The 18,735-nt window shown below is 42.4% G+C and overlaps 1 protein-coding gene across 3 annotated transcripts in view; it reads right to left on the reverse strand.

The window, feature by feature from the left end:
* Positions 1-18,735, reverse strand: part of ASTN2 (astrotactin 2) — a 991,946-nt gene that overhangs the window by 440,360 nt on the left and 532,851 nt on the right. For all 3 annotated transcript variants that reach the window (NM_014010.5, NM_001365069.1, NM_001365068.1), the window contains one exon: positions 112-262. In NM_014010.5, the coding sequence (NP_054729.3) occupies positions 112-262 (151 nt within the window). The remainder of the gene's footprint in view (positions 1-111; positions 263-18,735) is intronic.

The raw sequence follows: 18,735 nt of genomic DNA on the forward strand, positions 1-18,735 counted from the left end.
GGTAGTGTGGATATGATCCTCCTTACCAGCGTTCCCTCGCAGGGCAGGGCTTCTAGCAGGTGGCCTTAGCCCCTGGGCCACTGCCATGTTCCCGGGCCAATGGGCACTTACCACACATCCCGAGGAATCCACCTGCCGGTCAGACACACACTTGAAGTTGCGAGTGCAGCCCCCATTGTTCCGAGAGCAGTCACGAACTGGCCCGAAGGAAGACAGCAGGTCATTGATGGTTTCAAAGTATGTGGACAGCATCGCTTCTTCCCTTGGAGAGAAAGGGGATGGTTAAACCCCAGAGACATTTGGATCCTTAGATTAAAAAAATAATAATGTGAATTCATTACATTTGAAACCATAACTTACTTATAATCAGGAAAACAATAATAATCAATATTATAAAAAGGAAACAACAACAGGTATACCATCATATGACACGGTGCTTGTCAAGTTGTGATACAGAGAAATGGACCTAGAACTCTATACTCTTTATTTTATTAATACTTATGATTCTTGGAGGTAGTCATGAGATGTGCACTTTACCGTAAGGGAACTAGGCTTAGCAAGGTGAAGTATCTTGCTGAAGGCCAGCAGCTTACAATGTGACCGAAGTGAAGTTTGTATTAACTTCCAGCTGAGTCCAAAGAGAAGGCTCTTCTCACTGCCTAACTCTTAGCTTGCATCCTACCTGTTTCTACAGATTTCAGAGCTCCCTATAGCAACTCTGCAATTGGGCACATCCCTATTATTCCAACTTTGTGAATATAAAATTGAAACCATGAAAGATTGTGGGACTGACTCCAAATCCCACAGTCTATAAATAGCAGAGCCAAGACACAAACGCAGGAGTCTGACCCTCCAGGGCCCTAGATCCTTATTTTTCAGACTATTGTGTATAAGTCACTCCATCAAGACTATCAGCAACAGTTGTTGGAAAGGTCATGGGATTCCAGGGAAATACGTGATTCCTCCCAAATGAGGTTCTCAAAAGATAAGACTAGACTTGATACCATAATCCATGGATCTGCCAACATTTTATGAGATGGAATTCTCTACAATGGAGGATACAGATGGGAGCCTCTGATGCTGTCTTCTGCAGAAAGGGCCCGAAATAAGAGATACATTTGCTCTGGGGTATATGATTCCCATACTTACAGGAGATTTTAAAGAAGCACCATGGGCAGTGAGAAGCGGCACATATCCTTCCCTGGTCTGTGCCTCATGAGGCCCAGAGCTGTGAAGCAAGGGAAATGCCTGCAGCCACACATGAAGCAGGAAGAGGCTAGCAAACACTAGAGGGGGTGTCTCTGCACCATCTTGCATACCTTCTCCCATTCTTCTCCACCTCAGGCTTGGACCAGGTTTGAAACTCCTAATTCATTTCCTGCCTCCAGTCTTATCCCTTCTGTCCCATCTTTCATACTGACTGTCAGTGAACTTGGTAAATCCCAGCTCTAATTAGATACTCCTCTGATCAATAGCTTCCCAGTACTTAGAGAAGAAATATAAATTAGCTTCTCTGGCATTCGGACTTCATAATCTTGCCCCCAGTTACCTGTCCAGCCACATTTACCCTCTCCTCACATCTCTATCCACTAGGCACAGGCCTCGTCTCATTCCCTGAACACAGAATCTCTGAAAACAGGTTCTAAACTGGAAAGTTACATGCAGGAGGTTTATTGCCAAGCCCTCTTGGGAGATGCATCTAAAGATGGTGAGGAAGGGCTGGGCATAGTGGCTCATGCTTGTAATCTCAGCACTTTGGGAGGCCTAGGAAGGAGGCTTGATTGAGCCCAGGAGTTCAAGACCAGCTTAGAAAATGAGGCAAAACCCTGTCTCTACAAACATTTTTTAAATTACCAGGGTTTAGAGGAGCCTGCCTGTGGTCCCAGCTACTCGGGAGGCTGAGGTGAGAGGATCTCTTGAGCTACAGTGAGCCATGATCAAAACACTGTCTCAAAAAAAAAAAAAAAAAAAAAAAAAAAAAAAAAGGCAAGCGAAGAAGGCAGGATTTGGTAAAGAGAGAGACTGATCTACAGTGCGGGTCTAAAGTATCAGTTGTTCCTGCAGGGAGCTCTGGAGCTGAGAAGGCCCTTTATGGATGTCCTGAATTAAAGCAAGGAATCCAGGCCTTTGCATCCCCACAGTAGCCAGTCATTGGTGGGGCTGCTGTCTGGAATGGGATATACTAGGATAAACCAGTTCCCTGAGGCTGAAGGCAATGCCTAGTCACTGACAGCCACAGCTGGTGGGTGGGTGGGCTGGCCCTGAAGAGGGGATCTGTGTGTGGTACCTGCAGGCACCTCTCTCAATCCCAAATCATGCTCTTCCTTCTGCCTGGGATGCCCATTTCCAAATGCTTACGTGAAGAAATCCTAAGAATCTTTGAAAACTCTTCATATTCATTCATTCATTCATTTATTCATTGTACAAGCTTACTGAGTGTTTACCATATACCAGGCACAATGCTAGGTGCTGGGGATACAGCAGTGACATCAGGCAAGATCCTGACTCCCAATCTCCACAGTAGCTTTATGTTACCGCCTTTGTGAAACCTTCTCTGTTAATTCCCCCTACTAGAATTAATTCCTTTTCCCTGTGAGCATAGTGGCTAAATCTTTTAACTTATTGATCTTAATTATCAGCTTCACAGTCTCCCAGAGAGACTATAAGCTTTTAAAGGAAAAGGCTCAAGATTTATTCATTTCTCTTTAGTCCCCAGCACAGTCTGGAAGGAAAGTGTGCTAGGTAAACATTTTCAAATGAAACACAGAAAACACCCAAAGGCTTAGACGCAGTCTTCACCAATGAGTACTTTTACTAAGAACCTCCTCAGCAGGGCACTCCTCTCTGTCTCCCCAACTCTGGGTCCCCATTCCAAATCCTTTGTGTTCAGGGATGCAGCACAGGGACAAAGGAGAAGGGTGAGGTGCTACAGGATTATCCCTTGCTTCCTAACTTTGTAGGGAGTGAGGTGACAGGTTTATGGGAGGAAAGAATTAATAGTTCCTGAAATGAAGCTCTGGGGAGACTTGCCACTTTTGAATCATGAAGAGAGTTGAGGATCCTGGGAAGACATTAAGCCTATTAAAATATTAATACCCTAGAAGGGAGAAGAAGAAACAGAAAGTAAGAGGAGGAGATAAGGCAGAGGGACCAGGCTGGGCGTGGTGGCTCACACCTGTAATCCCAGCACTTTGGGAGGCCTAGATGGGCTAGGTCAGGAGATGAGGACTATCCTGGCTAACATGGTGAAACCTCGTCTCTACTAACAATATAGTAGCCAGGTGTGGGGCATGCTCCTGTAATCCCAGTTACTCGGGAGGCTGAGGCAGGAGAATTGCTTGAACCCAGGAGGCAGAGGTTGCAGTGAGCCGAGATCGTGCCACGGCACTCTAGCCTAGGTGACACAGCGAGACTCCGTCTCAAAAAAAAAAAAAAAAAAAAAGACAGAGGGACCTGAGAAAGTGAGAGAACAAGAGATAAACAGGTAGAGAAACTGCTGAGAAGGAAAGAAGAGACACAGAGAGGCAGAAACACATATAGCCACCTGGAAACAGATAAAGGGATCTAAAAGGTATAGATGGACAGACAGAGAGACAGAGAGTTATAGAGGGACACAGGTCATAGAGACAGACAGGAAAAGAAAGGCAAATAGAGGAGAGAAAGGATGTGAAAAGATAAAAATGAAAAGATAGAATTGGAAAAAGAAAGCAAAGAGAGAAACAGAGGCATAAGAAACAGATGAAAAGAGGAGGCATACTCAAGGTAAACAGAACAAATGTGTAAGTGTGCCGAGGAGAGGGAGAGAAGGTGGGAGGGAGAGTGAGAAAAGAGAGCAGGAGGAGACAAATGCAGAAAGACAGAATGAAAGGGAAGAGAAAGACACTGAGTAAGAAAGAAAACACACCCATCTCTACTAAAAATACAAAAAATTAGCTGGGCGTGGTGGCGGGTGCCTGTAGTCCCAGCTACTTGGGAGGCTGAGGCAGGATAATGGCGTGAACCCGGGAGGCGGAGCTTGCAGTGAGCCAAGATCGCGCCACTGCACTCCAGCCTGGGCGACAGAGCGAGACTCTGTCTCAAAAAAAAAAAAAAAAAAAAAAAGGAAAGAAAACACAGAGCCATGGAGAGCAGAGACAGACAACAACAAAGAAACAAGGAAAGGGAAGTGAAAAACAAGCAAAAACATGTCACCTTTCTCTGGAAGCTAGAGACAGTTCAAGCTATAAAAATACAAAAGCTGTCCACTTTTAAAAGGATTGATTCTGCATAAACATCAGTTACATGAGGGGAACATTACTTAAAACACAAAGACCTGACACAGGGGCCGTTACTAAGTCAAGAGAAGTGATTGTGTCAGGCTAGGGAATGAAGAATCTGAGCGCAAGACAGGAAAAAAAAGCTTAAAGCAGACACTGGCGTTTTCTTAACTCAAAGCAGACACTGGCGTTTTCTTAACTCGGGGGCTCAATCCTTCATCTCACTTGCGGAGCCCAGGGTTTAGGGTCTGTGGGATCTTAGAGCTGCCCCAATCTTGGGGCGGGGAGTGGGAGGCAGCAAAGAGATGAATGGAAGAGCACTGGGGGCGGAGGCAGGCTGGACTGAGACACTGCCCTGGGGTATCAGGATACCAGTGTGAGAATCCCAGCTTTGCCAGCAATCACCAAAACTACCAACATCCTCTTCATTATTTAGGATTTCCTGGGCACCTGCTATGTGTTAAGCATGGTGCAAGGTTCCCTTCCTGTAATATTCCCTGTGATTTTCACAAGAGCCCTAGAAATGACAGTTTTATACCCAATGTGCAGCTGGAGAAACAGGGGCTTAGGGAAGTTATGTCACTTGCTCCAGTTCTCAATGGCGTGATGCAGTGAGGCCAGGCTGTGCACTCGAATCTGCCTGACCTCAAGTCCTGAGTTAAACTTTAACAACTTACCCTGTGTCTTGGGCAAGTCAGAGCCCTCCTAACAGTAAGGCCCGTAAGAATGTGTGTTCAATCTCTCTGTCTTAGCAGAGGAGGACAGAATGGGCAGAGCCTGAGAGTTCTTTGTGTACCTCCCACAGCCTGATTCCTGGGCCATGCATGTGGTCCACAATAGCCTCAATCCATGCAGGAATAGAAGGGGAAAGCATAGTGTTTAAGTTTACTAGAAGGGCCATAACAAGTACCATGAATCAGGTGACTTAAAACAACAGAAATTTATTCTCTCGCCATTCTGAAGGCCAGAAGTCCAAAATCAGGGTTTGGTAGAGCCCTGGTCCCTCAGTAGGCTCAAGGAGAGAATCCTTCCTTGCCTCTTCAGAGCCTCCCATGGCTCCCAGCCATGCTTAGCTTTCCTTGGCTGGCAGTTTCAGGACTCCTGCCTCTGTCCCCATCATCATATGGCCTTCTTGCCTGTGTGTCTGTGTGTCCTCTCCTTTTTTTAAAATGACACCATTTGGGCTGGGTGCAGTGGCTTACATCTGTAATCCCTGGGAAGCTGAGGCAGGTGGATCACCTGAGGTCAGGAGTTCGAGACCAGCCTGACCAACATGGTGAAACCCTGTCTCTACTAAAAATACAATAATTAGCAGGGTGTGGTGGTGGGTGCCTGTAATCCCAGCTACTCGGGAGGCTGAAGCAGGAGAATTGCTTGAACCTGGGAGGCAGAGGTTGTAGTGAGCCGAGATCACAGCATTGCACTCCAGCCTGGGCAACAGAGCAAGACTCCTGTCTCAAAAAGAAAGAAAGAAAAAAAAATGACAGCATTAGTTGGGTTTAGGGTCCACCTTAATCTGTTATAACCTTTTCTTAGTTATATCTGCAAAGGCCTTGTTTCTAAATAAGGCCACGTTCTGAATTTCTGGTGAACACAAATTTTGGGGGACAAAATTCATGCAATTCCACAGGGCACAGGGGAATGTGCTCACATTCGCATGGTAGGACAGAGCCAGGACTAAATAAAACACCTCAGTCCTTGATTCTTATCAAAGTGTTCCTAATACTGCACTGGCTCTTCTCACTCTAGACACTTCATGTTTCATTGTGGTCCTTACAAGGTTTGAAAAATCTTAGGGAAAGGATCATGATGAAGTCACTCTCCATATTATCTGTGCCTTTATTTGGGAGGAGAAAAGACCAACTTTAATTAAATACCTACCACACTCCAGCAACCGTGTAGAGGGTTTTCAACCACTCTACAGAACAGAGCTTGGCAAACTTTTCTGTACAGGGCTAGATAGTAAAGATCTTAGGCTTTGCAGGCCATACAGTCTCTGTCCCAATCACTCAACTCTGCTTTTGTAATACACAAACAATCATAGACAATATGCAAAAGAATGAATGTAGCTATGTTTCAATAAACCTGTATTAAAGATGGGTGTAGTGGCTCATGCCTGTAATCTCAGCTCTTTGAGAGACTGAGGTGGGAGGATCGCTTGAGCCCAGGAGTTCAAGACCAGCCTGGACAACAGAGTGGGATCCCATTTCTATAATTTTTTTTTTTTTTTTTAATTAGCCAGGTGTAGTGGTGTGTGCCTGTAGTACCAGTTACTCAGGAAGCTGAGGTAGGAGGATTGCTTGAGCCTGGCAAGTTTGGGGAGGTGGGGGTCAAGGATTTCAGTAAGCTGTGAGCATGCTACTGCACTCCAACCCATGTGACACAGTGAGACCCTGTCTCAAAAAAAATAAAAAATAAAAAATACTGTATTTACAGAAAGACACAGCCAGATAAATTATTTTCTGTTTTAGGTGTGAAAACCCTGAAGTCAGTGTTGGAGTTAGGAGTTGAACCCAGGTAGGTCCAACTCCACATTCTTTCTCCTACATGAATCTTCTGAAACTCAGCCTTCTCATCTGTAAAATGGGAACAATATCTGTCTAATTCTCAGCTCTGTAGATGACTATGAGGATATAATAACATGATATAGAAATGTGTTTTCCAAACTCTAAAACCTAATGCAAACTTATTCATTGTTTATTCATTCAATAAATATCTGAGTACCTGCTGCATGCCACATACTGAGCTGATTATTATTATGGCTTTTCTTTGGCCTCCCAGCAGCTGTTTCTGTTCCTATATAACCCAGACATTGTGCAAAAGGTTCCAAACATCTCTCTATCTCTGACATACAAATTATTATTATTTTTTTCTGTTAATACTGGCTCCAAAACAGAGATAGCCAGACCCCACCAGACTGGGTGAGACAGCCATCCCCTAATTACCTGACCGGTAAAGTACAAATGCGTCACCTGGATTCCATTTGGCTGAGTCAGCCCAAGCCTGATGCAGGGTGAGCATTAGGCAGGGTGGCTGGGAACAGATGCTGACATGGCCTGCTGTTAATAAATACCAGGAAAGGTCTGTGTCACTCATAGAGAGATGTGAATGGATGATGCCAAGCCAAGACAGTGACAAGTCCCTCACTGATGCAGATTAATCATTCTCTGGTAATAGCCGACAACCTTGTTTCCTGAGCTACCTGGGAAGGAGGAACCTAAGACAATGTACTGATAAAAATCAAGCTCAGGGCAGGCACGGTGCCTCACGCCTGTAATCCCAGCACATTGGGAGGCCGAGACAGACAGATCTTGAGGCCAGGAGATCGAGACCATCCTGGCTAACATGGTTAAACCCTGTCTCTACTAAAAATACAAAAAATTAGCTGGGTGTGGTGGTGGGCACCTGTAGTCCCAGCTACTCAGGAAGCTGAGGCAGGAGAATCGCTTGAATCAGGGAGGCAGAGGTTGCAGTGAGCCGAGATCGTGCCACGGCACTGCAGCCTGGGCAACAAAGCGAGACTCCGTCTCAAAATAAATAAATAAATAAAATAAAATAAAAAATCCAGCTCAGTTTTTTTATTTTAAAGAAAGAACGCTTTGTTGAGATATAATTCACATACCATATGATTTACCTATTTAAAGTGTACAGTTTAAGCAGGGTACAGTTTAAGTGATCAATATTTAAATATTTTCATCAACCCAAAGAGAAACCCTGCCTCTATCATAAGTCCCTGCCTACTTCCTCCCAATGACCCTTGTGTTGGGAAACCACTAATCTTCTGTCTTTATAGATTTACTAACTCTGAACACTTCATGTAAATTAAGTTATACATTATGTAGCCTTTTGTGACTGGCTACTTTCAGTTAGCATAGTGTTTTCAAGGTTCATCCATGTTTCAGCATGTATCACTACTTCATTCCTTTTGTATTGCCAAATGATATTCCATTATATAGATATTCCACATTTTATTCCTCTATCATTAGTTGGTGGACATTTTGGTTGTTTCCACTTTTCAGTTACTATGACTAATGCTGCTATGAACATTCATACACAGGTTTTTATGTAGATACATGTTTTCATATATTTTGTGGCTCCCCCTGCCCTGGGATTTAGGGAGCCTTCTCAGCCCCTAATAGCATGAGCCACAGTGTAGAACAGTAGATAAGAGGGCAAGTTTGTCTGGAGTCAGACTGCCCTGAGGAGGAATCCCAGCTTCACTCAGTATGAGACCTTGGGCAAGCCTCTTCTTTTTGAGACAGAGTCTCACTCTCTCACCCAGGCTGGAGTGCAGTGGCGCGATCTTGGCTCACTGCAACCTCCGCCTCCCAGTTCAAGCAATTCTCCTGCCTCATCATTCCAAGTAGCTGGGACTACAGGAATGTGCTACCATGCCAGACTAATTTTTGTATTTTTAGTAGAGATTGGGTTTCACCATGTTGGCTAGGCTGGTTTTGAACTTCTGACCTCAGGTAATCCAGAGACCTTGGGCAAGTCTCTTAAACCCTGAGCCTCAATTTTCTCATCTGTAAAATGGGGATATTAATACCTAACTAGCAGAGGTAGCATGAGTGATAGATTAGGGAGCAAATGTGTCAAATGCCAGGCACACAGTAAGTGCCTAACAGCTGGTAATAAGTGGTATCATCTGAAAGTCCCTCAAAGTTGCAAGAACCATGCCTTGAGAATGTTGAGAAGCTCAATGTAGGAGAAGGGATGAAAGATCTGAGACCCCACATGGTCCATTTACTCAGTTAAAAATGTTTCTTTGGTGCTAGGCTTGTTCTGGGTACTCGGCTGGGTTCCTGGGAGACACAGGAATGGATGTAACAGAGCTTGTGCTAGGCAGGAGGAAAAACACTAAGCTAGCAAGATAAGTGAGGCCACAGGACCACAAAGATGACTCTCTCTCTCTTGCCAGACCTTGGAAGTAGGAGCTCAGAGAAGGCTTTTTGGAGGAGGTAATGTTGAGCCTGAGACATAAAGGATGGGTGGAAATTAGGTAAAGGGGGATAAATAGAGTGGGTTAAAGAAATTCTAGGGAGAAGGAAAGAATATGCTAAGGCCTAGAGGTAGGAGATAGAATACCCTGATTGAGGGGCTTCAAGAGATGCAGAAAAGCTGGACTGTCAAGGAGGAGGTGAGATATGGCAAAGGCTGAAGCAGAAGGAGTGCCAGGAGCCAGGCTAGAGAAGATTCCTGTGTGCCAGGCCATGGTGATTCTGGACTTTACCCTGGAAGCTATGGACTGCCACCCAAAGGTTAAAAAGCAGATCCTGCTTTTATTTAGAGTAATATCATAGATGAATAGTTTACACAAATCCTTATGGCAATAATAGTTAATGCTGATTGTGCATTCATAATATGCCAATAAATGGTTTAAGCACTACATGTATCAACTCACTTAATCCTCCCCCAAAACACAATGATGTAAATGATACATCCCCATTTCATAGGAGAAAGAAACTCAGGCACCATTTTGAGGCTGTTTTGAGACCTGTTAAGGATAATGTAGGTAAAGCATTAGGACAGTGCCTGGCACATGGTGACTGCTTTATAAGGATTTCTTGAAAAACAGCTTCCAGGGGAGGGATAGGGTGAGGTGGCACAAGCCACAGGTAGGTAGATTTGAGCTTTTCCAAAGCCAGAGACATTCAGCAAGGGAACACTGTCTTCCAAGTTACTGCTCCAGCCTTCAGGAATGCATACTGAGGAGGCATGGCCATTTTCCTGGGATAGTTGTGGCGGGAGTCAGGCCTCCAGTGCAGAGGGTGTACAATATCATGGTGATAACAACATTCACATGGGCTAATTATCTACTGAGAATTTATGACATGAGAACTTTGGCTTAACATAGATTATCTCATTTAATAATTGCCTATGGGATTGTGCTATTATCCCTGTTGATATGGTTTGGCTGTGTGTCCCCACCCAAATGTCATGTTGAATTGTAATCCTCAATGTTGGAGGAGGAGCCAGGTGGGAGGTGATTGGATCATGGCAGAGTGGGGAGGCAGTGGACTTCCCCATTACTGTTCTCGTGATAGTGAGTGAATTCTCACGAGATCTGGTTGTGTAAAAGTGTGTAGCACTTGCTCCTTCACTGTCTTCCTGCTGTTCCAGCCATGTAGGACATGTCTGCTCCCCCTTCCCCTTCTATCATGTTGTAAGTTTCCTGAGGCCTCCCCAGCTATGCTTCCTGTACAGACTGTGGAACACTGACCCAATGAAACCTCTTATCTTTATAAATTACCCAGTCTCAGGTAGTTCTTTATAGCAATGCAGAAACAAACGAATGCCTCTGTTTTTTCAATTTGAAAAGAAATGTACACACTCAGATGCAGGACTTGGCATTTACAGAGGTGAGAGGACTGGCAGTGAGTCCTAGTGACAGAGCTGGGTTCCACCCTGGGTGTATCTGACTTCGGACTCTTTAGTGTCCTGCCTTTCTCTTTAAGAAGTCTTTCCACCCAGAGATTCTGGGACTGGTGTTTTAGCTGACACTTAACATTCTCCTTCCTCTAGCAATTATGGTTTGCACTAATTTAGGTTGATATATATATATATTGCTGTTCAGAGTGGTCTCATAACTTCCTGGGAGTGTCTTGTGCTTCTGAGTAGCTTGTTAGCTTCCTGCATGCCTAGAGTCCTCCTCGGTCACATCCCTTAGTGCACTGGGCATGCTGCAGCTGTTCGCTGAATAAGGGCAGGTGTTGAAGGAAGAGAAGAAGGGCACAATAAGGCCCATCAGCTGTGCAGTCTTTAGAACAAAGAGAAAATGATTGTAATGTCTGTTGTCCATCTGTGTGATGGAGGCAATAATATTCAACTCACAGAATTGTGGGTCAGAATTCAAAGAGTTAAAAGATATGAAAGTCTCTTATCACCAGGCTCAAACAAATAAAGATCCTCAATAAAGAGCTGTTGTGTTTTGGAAATGAGTTTGTGCATTTCACAGATATTGACCCAGCACTCACCCCTGGAGTTGGAGGTTGGGTATAGACACAGCCTCGTTTTATTGTACCTCACTTTATTGCTCATTGCAGATATTATTTCTTAAAGATTGAAGGTCGGTGGCTACCCTGTGTCAAGAGAGTCTATCAGTGCCATTTTTCCAACAGAATGTGCTCACTTCATGTCTATGCATCAGATTTTGGTAGTTCTCACAATATTTCAAAATTGTGTTATTATTATATCGTTTATGGTTTGGGGAGCCCTCATTGCGCTCATATAAAGCGGCCAACTTACTTGGTAAATATAAGGCCTCCCTGTTTGCTGAGACACCACAATATTGAAATCAGGCCTATTAATAACCCTACAATTTCCTCTAAGTGTTCAAATGCAAGGAAATGTCACACATCTCTCACTTTAAATCATAAGCTAGAAATGATTAAGTTTAGTGAGGAAGGTATGTGGAAAGCCAAGACTGATGAAAAGCTGGGCCTCTTGCACCAGTTAGGCAAGATGTGAATGCAAAGAAAAAGTTCTTAAAGGAAATTAGAAGTGCTACTTCTGTGAACACACAAATGATAAGAAAGTGAAACAGCTTTATTTCTGTTATGGAGAATGTTTTAGAGGTGTGGATAAATTAAACCAGCTACAATATTCCCTTAAACCCAAACTAGGACAAGGTCCTAATTCTCTTCAATTCTATGAAGGCTGAGAGAGGTGAGGAAGCTGTGGAAGGAAAGTTTAAGCAGAGATTGATTCATAAGTTTTAAGAAAAGGAGCCATCTCTGTATCATAAAAGTGCAAGGAGAAGCAGCAAGTGCTGATATATTAATAGAAGCTGCAGCAAGTTATCAAAAACATCTAGTTAACATAATTAATGAAGGTGACTATGTCCAACAACCGATTTTCAATGTAGATGAAACAGCCTTGTATTGGAAGAAGATGCCATCTAGGTCTTTCATTGCTAGAGAGGAGAAGCCTGGCTTCAAAAATTCAAAGGACAGGCTGTCTCTCTCATTAGGGGTTAATGCAGCTGTTGAAGCCAATACTAGTTTACCATTATAAAAGCCCTAGGGCCTTTAAGAATTATGCTAAATCTACTCTGCCTGTGCTCTATAAATAGAACAGCAAAGCCTGAATGACAGCACATCTGTTTACAGCATGGTTTACTGAATATTTTAAGCCCACTGTTGAGAACTCCTGCTCAGAAAAATGAGCTGTGATGGAGATGCATAAGAGGTTAATGTTGTTTTCATGCATTCTAACACAGCATCCTTTTTTGCAGCCCATGCATGAAGAAGTAATTTCAAGTCTTATTATTTAAGAAATACATTTTGTAAGGTTATAGTTTTCATAGATAGTGATTTTTCTGATGGATCTGGGTAAAATAAATTAAAAACTTTCCAGAAAGGATTCTCCATCTTAGATGCCATGAGAAAAATTTCTGATTTATGAGAGGAGGTCAAAATATCAATATTAGCACGAGTTTGGAAGAAGTTGATTCCAACCCTCATGAATGACTTTGAGGGGTTCAAGGCTTCAGTGGAGGTAATAATTACAGATGTGAAAATTGCAAGAGAACTAGATTTAGAGGTGGAGGTTGAAGATGTGACTGAATTGCTGCAATCTCATGATAAAACTAATGAGAAGTTGCTTCTTGTGGAGGAGCAAAGAAAAGTGGTTTCTTGAGTTGTAAACTACTCGTGGTGAAGATGCTGTGAATACTGTTGAAATAAGAACAAAAGATTTAAAATATTACATAAACTTGCTTGATAAAGCAGTGGCAGGGTTGGAGTAAATTGAAAAAATTCACTTTCAAAAAGTTCTGTGGGTAAAATGCTATCAGACTACATCACATCCTACAGCAAAATCTTTTGTGAAAGGAAGAATCAGTTGTTACAACAAACTTCACTGTTGTCTTATTTTAAGAAATTGCCACAGCCACTTCAGCCTTCAGTAACTACCACCCTGATCAGTGAGCAGCTGTCAACACTGAAGCAATACCCTGCACCAGCAAAATGATTATGGCTCACTGAAGATTCAGATGACCATTAGCTTTTTTTTAAGCAATAAAATATTTCTTAATTAAGGTATGTACATTATTTTTTAAACATGATGCAATTGTACACTTAATAAACTATAGAGTAAAAAATAACTTTTATATGCACTAGGAAACAAAAGTATTTGTGCAATTCACTTTATTGTGATATTTGCTTTATTACGGTGTTCTGGTACCTAACACACAATATCTCTGAGGTGTGCCTGTATACAGAAAAGAGCAAAACAAACATGTGCTTTGTCCCTCTGGGGCTTACAGTTGTTGGGACAAGTAAGTTCCTCTTCAAAGACTCAAATTTCTGGTCATAAATTGTAAACCAAACCTATCCCCTCCTTTTTTCACAAATCGCACATTTACCCTATTTGGAAAAGTTTAAGTCTTAGCCAACGGGATCTGCTTAGATTGTGCGGTCTAACCCCAGCCAATAGGGGAAGGACACAGAAACAGGAACTGCATTAGGGTTAAAAACCCCTTCCCTCCTTTGTTAGGTGTGCTCTTGCTATTGTAACCAGTGCAAGCAGCACCCTTCTGCAGAAGTAAATGTGCCTTGCTGAGAAATTTTCTATCTAAGTGTGGGTTTTTTTTTGGCTATGCTGAGCACTTGTTTCCAACACAGGTAGTTATTGGAACAGTCACTCAACAAATAACTGCCTTAATATCAATATGTGTGTCTATATCTATGGCTATAGCTATGTCTATGTTATATCTGTATCTATGTGTATATATCTATAGCTATACATCTATGCCTATGCCCCTATCTATACCTAAATTTATAATTACAAACTGTGATAGATGCTTTAAAAATACTGAATACAGTAAGATCATATGGCAGAGGGGCCAATCTAATCTAGGGATTTGGGGATGGGAGTGTGGAGTGAGGCAGATTTCCCTGGAGAGTATGAGACCCTGAAACCAAACCAGCCTGTGGTATGGTGAGGTTTCATCACACCCAGGCTGTCCCCAGGAGAGCTGGGATGATGTGTATCCTCCATTCCCACCCCCACCATGCACAGTGATCATGGAGTCCATCATTCCTCTGGCAAAAAAAGCCATCTTCTCCTCCTGTACTTGTTCTGACCATTTAGTCATAGAAATTCTCCTCTTCACTTAAACACATTTACAAGAAAAGAACAAACAATCCCATTAAAAAGTAGGCAAATGACATGAACAGACACTTCTTAAAAGAAGACATTCATGTGGCCAACAAACATATGAAAAAAAGCTCAACATCACTGATTGTTATAGAAATGCAAATCAAAACCACAATGGGATACCATCTCACGCCAGTCTGAATGGCAGTTTTTAAAAAGTCAAGAAACAACAGATGCTGGTGAAGCTGTGGACAAATAGGAACACTTTTACACTGTTGGAGGGAATGTAAATTAGTTCATCCATTGTGTAAGACAGTATGGCAATTCCTCAAGGATTCTAGAACTAGAAACATCATTTGACCCCCTGTTACTGGGTATATACCCAAAGGAATATCAGCCTTTCCATTATAAAGATACATGGCATGTGTATGTTCATTGCAGCACTATTCACAATAGCAAAAACATGAAATCAACCCAAATGCCCGTCATGACAGACTGGATAAAGAAAATGTGGTACATATACACCATGGAATACTATGCAGCCATAAAAAGGAAGGTCATGTCCTTTGCAGGGGCACAGTTGGAGGTGGAAGCCATTATCCTCAGCAAACTAATGCAGGAACAGAAAACCAAACACTGCATGTTCTCACTTATAAATGGGAGCTGAACAACGAGAACACATGGACACAGGGAGGGGAACAACACACACTGGGGCCTATCAGGGGGCTGGGGGAGAGACAGCATTAGCATAAATAGCTAATACATGTGGGGCTTAATACCTAGGTGATGGGTTGATAGGTGCAGCAAAACACTATGGCACACATTTACCTATGCAACAAACCTGCATGTCCTGTACATGTATTCCAGAACTTAAACTTATTTTTTTAAAAAAAGAAATTCTCCTCTTCACCCACCCCTCTTTCTCCTACCCTTTGCAAATCTCATCCTTATTTTGAAAAAGAAAAAAAAGTTTCAGTGGCAAATGCTGAAGCTTGAGGATTATTTATTCATAAAGTACCCACATGGAGTCACTGAGAGCTCCTCCAAGCTCTCATCTCAAACAGAAGAGGCTCATTAAGATGGGAAGTCCTGGGGTCTCAGGTGTGATTGCTCAGAAAGCCAGCACCTTCCCCTGGTTCAGGGTGTGCCCTGCTGCTCAGGAGCCTGAGAGACTCTGGTGATCTGGATGGCAGAGGGGGTTGCCGTGAGCCAGGAGAGCCCAGCATTAGACAGTAAATGGGGCTGTGACCTCTAGAAGGAAGAGCACTGGCCTGGAGGCTCAGGTATGGTATCAGAGTCCAGCTCAGCCTCCCTCTGCTGTGTGTACCTGGGTGACCCTCCACCCTCTATGGGCCTCAGATTCTACATTTCTACAATGATGGGGTGATCTCTAAGGGCTCTTCCAGCTCCAATTTCTAATAACATAATGTGGCTTCCCAAAAAGACTGACAACTGCTTCCAGTTGTCAGTTTCACTTTCAGAAATAAGGTGAAAATGCAAGACTGGAGAGAGACAGAGACAGACAGACAGACAGACAGACAGACAGACAGACAGACAGAGAATTCATTGTTTTGAACCTGAGGAAATCAAGGGACTGTGTTATTATGAGGAAGCAGCTCTGGGCTCAAACTCTGCTGCTCATTTGCTGAGAAAACCAACAACTTATTCAACCTCTCTTGAGTCTCAGTTTCCTCATACATAAATCATAGATTATAATACCGAATTCTTAGTTTTCATGAGAATTACATTAGATAATAAAACTTCCATGAAGGCATGGGTTCTGCCATGCTCACTGAAGTCTAGTGCCTTAAACAGAGGGTCTGGAACACTGTGCAGGCAACCCAATTTGTTTCGGACAAATGAATGAATAAAAACACACGTGAAACACTCTGCAAAGCACTGAGCCCATAACGAAGATCAATACACTTGCTTGTATTGTTACAGTAATTGTTACTAACAATAGCCTGCTTTTCACCAATCCTAAAAGTTACTCAAGCCCTGAGAACAGGGATTCTTAACTTGGTGTCAAGACTTGTTTTCCAATCTGATGAAGCCTATGAAGCCTATGGACCACAACTTAGAGTTATGTTTTTATGTGGATAAAATCAAATGAAAAGGCATTCTAAAATAAACCATTTATCAAAATGTATTTAAAAATCAATTGTAACATAATCTACATGTTCCTTTATTGACATATTAAGTAAAAATATCTAGTAGCAGATATAATAATAACCATAAATTCAAAGCAATAATGAGCCAAAAATATATTTTAAGACATTTACAACAAATGCAATATGATATAAAACTATAAGTAATTTCCACTGGTGACAAAGTCACAGGTACTGCTAACACACCTATGTTTGTTGCCTATGTTTGTAATAGAAAGAAATGTTAAATTTCAATGAGTGGCTGGCAAAAGTAAAGATGTATGATTTTCCCATGAAATTTCATGAAACTCCAGCATAGACCCCAGATTAAGAGCTGCTGCCAACAATGACACTTTATTGGAAAAAGCTTTTCTCTGTATAGCTGTCACTGTGAATATAATCAGAAGCTTGGGTCCTGATAGGAAGACAGGAAATTAAAACTCAACTATCATCACACCAAAATAATTCTTTCCTGAAGGGGCATATGTGATGTGGTGAATTAACAGACTTGGGCTTCAGAAAATAAATAAATAAATAAGTAAATAAACAAAAGCTTTCAGGGGTTTGCCCTTGCGCAAATGACCTCCCACCTCAGAACTTCAGTTTCCTCATCTGTGAACAAGTTGTGGTAATGTTTCCTCCAAGGGTGGCTGGAGAATGGGGTAAAATACATAAGATAATGTCCCTTGTGCAAATATGCAAATACTGGCTCTTCTGTGTCTCCCTTCCTGTTCCTTCTAGGGCAAAAGAAGTTTATTGCAGCCATCCATGGCTGCCATAGGTGCCATGATGGGGATGAATTTCTGAATTTCTTAAGGACTTACTAGGTTCTAACTCCATGCTAGATACTTGGCACTCACAGGTGCTGAGACATGACCCCCGCCTTCAAGAAGGGCACAAGCTGGGGCAGAGATAGCAAGTAAAAATTTACATGGTGAAGCTGAGTAGACACATATTATAGACACATAAAGACGTCATGAGGTCCTCAAAATGAAGCGATGACTTTTCCTGGGCTGGCTAGAGAAGGCTTTCTAGAAGAGGTAGCCACACATGGATCTTGAAGAAAGATGAGAACATGAGGAGGAGAAAAGGAAGAAAATAGAAAGACAGGATGGCTGCTAGACGACAGCACAAACAGAGTCACAGAATGTGGAAGAGGAGGAGGAGGAAGGTGTGTTGCATAAATACCCATACCCAATGAGCCCATTATTAAAGTGTGGGATGGGTGGGAGAAAAGGGAGCTCACCAGGCCCAGTCACGTGTGTTTTATAGACATTTTCTAGTTCACAAGGTGGATCTCATTACCTCATTTTGCAGATAAAGAAACTGAGTCATTTAAAAGTCCTATAATTTCCTAGTGGAGCCCTAGTAGGAATGCAACTGCCTCTGACTCTGAAGTCCATATTCTTCTCCCAGAATGCCACTTGTTGAATTTGAGTTGGAATCCCAGTTTTGCTTTGTATCTCACTGTGTGACCTCTTGAAGGTCACTAGTCTCTCTGACTTCAGCTTCCTTATTTGTCAAATGGAGACTATAGCACCTACCTCTCAGGACTGATATTAAAACAAAAATGATAAGCCACTTAAAGCACCACATGCATTGCTGGGCATAAAGCAAAAATCCAACCAGTGTAAATTCCCTTTTACTGCACTTCTCCATTTGCACCTGGAGTGGCCACTGCCTTTGCATGGTTTTGACAGGCTAGTGGAAAGTGCAATTTCCCAAAAGATCCCAGCTTATGTAAAACACAAGGCACCTCAATTGCCTACAAAGAGTTGGTTTCCGTAATGGAAATCATAGGCAGCAACAGGCCGTGTTCAATCTGTCAGCTACTTGCAAAAATTTTAGTAGTAGACAGTGAGTTATGGAAATTAAATAGTAGTAATTTCATTTGCTGGATAAGAACTATTTGATGTTTCGAAGCATCAAGAATATTTGTAGCACAACTTAATGAATGGAGTTTTTATGTGGTGAAAATCACAAGGTAATTACCCAGTGATCATCAATAATTGTAAAATTGTTAAGCACTCAGTGCCTCAAGTGATGATTCCTAATTTCTTTTGGAACAATAAAAGAATTATCCATCTATCCATCCATCCATCCATCCACCCATCCATTCATCACTCCATTTATTATTACAAATATATTTATTAAGTACCTGCTCTTTCTGGCCCTGCACTCTTAGCTGTCAGATACGAGTAAGCCATAGCTTCTGTACCCAACAAGGCCAA

Source organism: Homo sapiens, chromosome 9 (genome assembly GCF_000001405.40).
Source record: "Homo sapiens chromosome 9, GRCh38.p14 Primary Assembly".
Classification (NCBI taxonomy): Eukaryota; Metazoa; Chordata; class Mammalia; order Primates; family Hominidae; genus Homo; species Homo sapiens.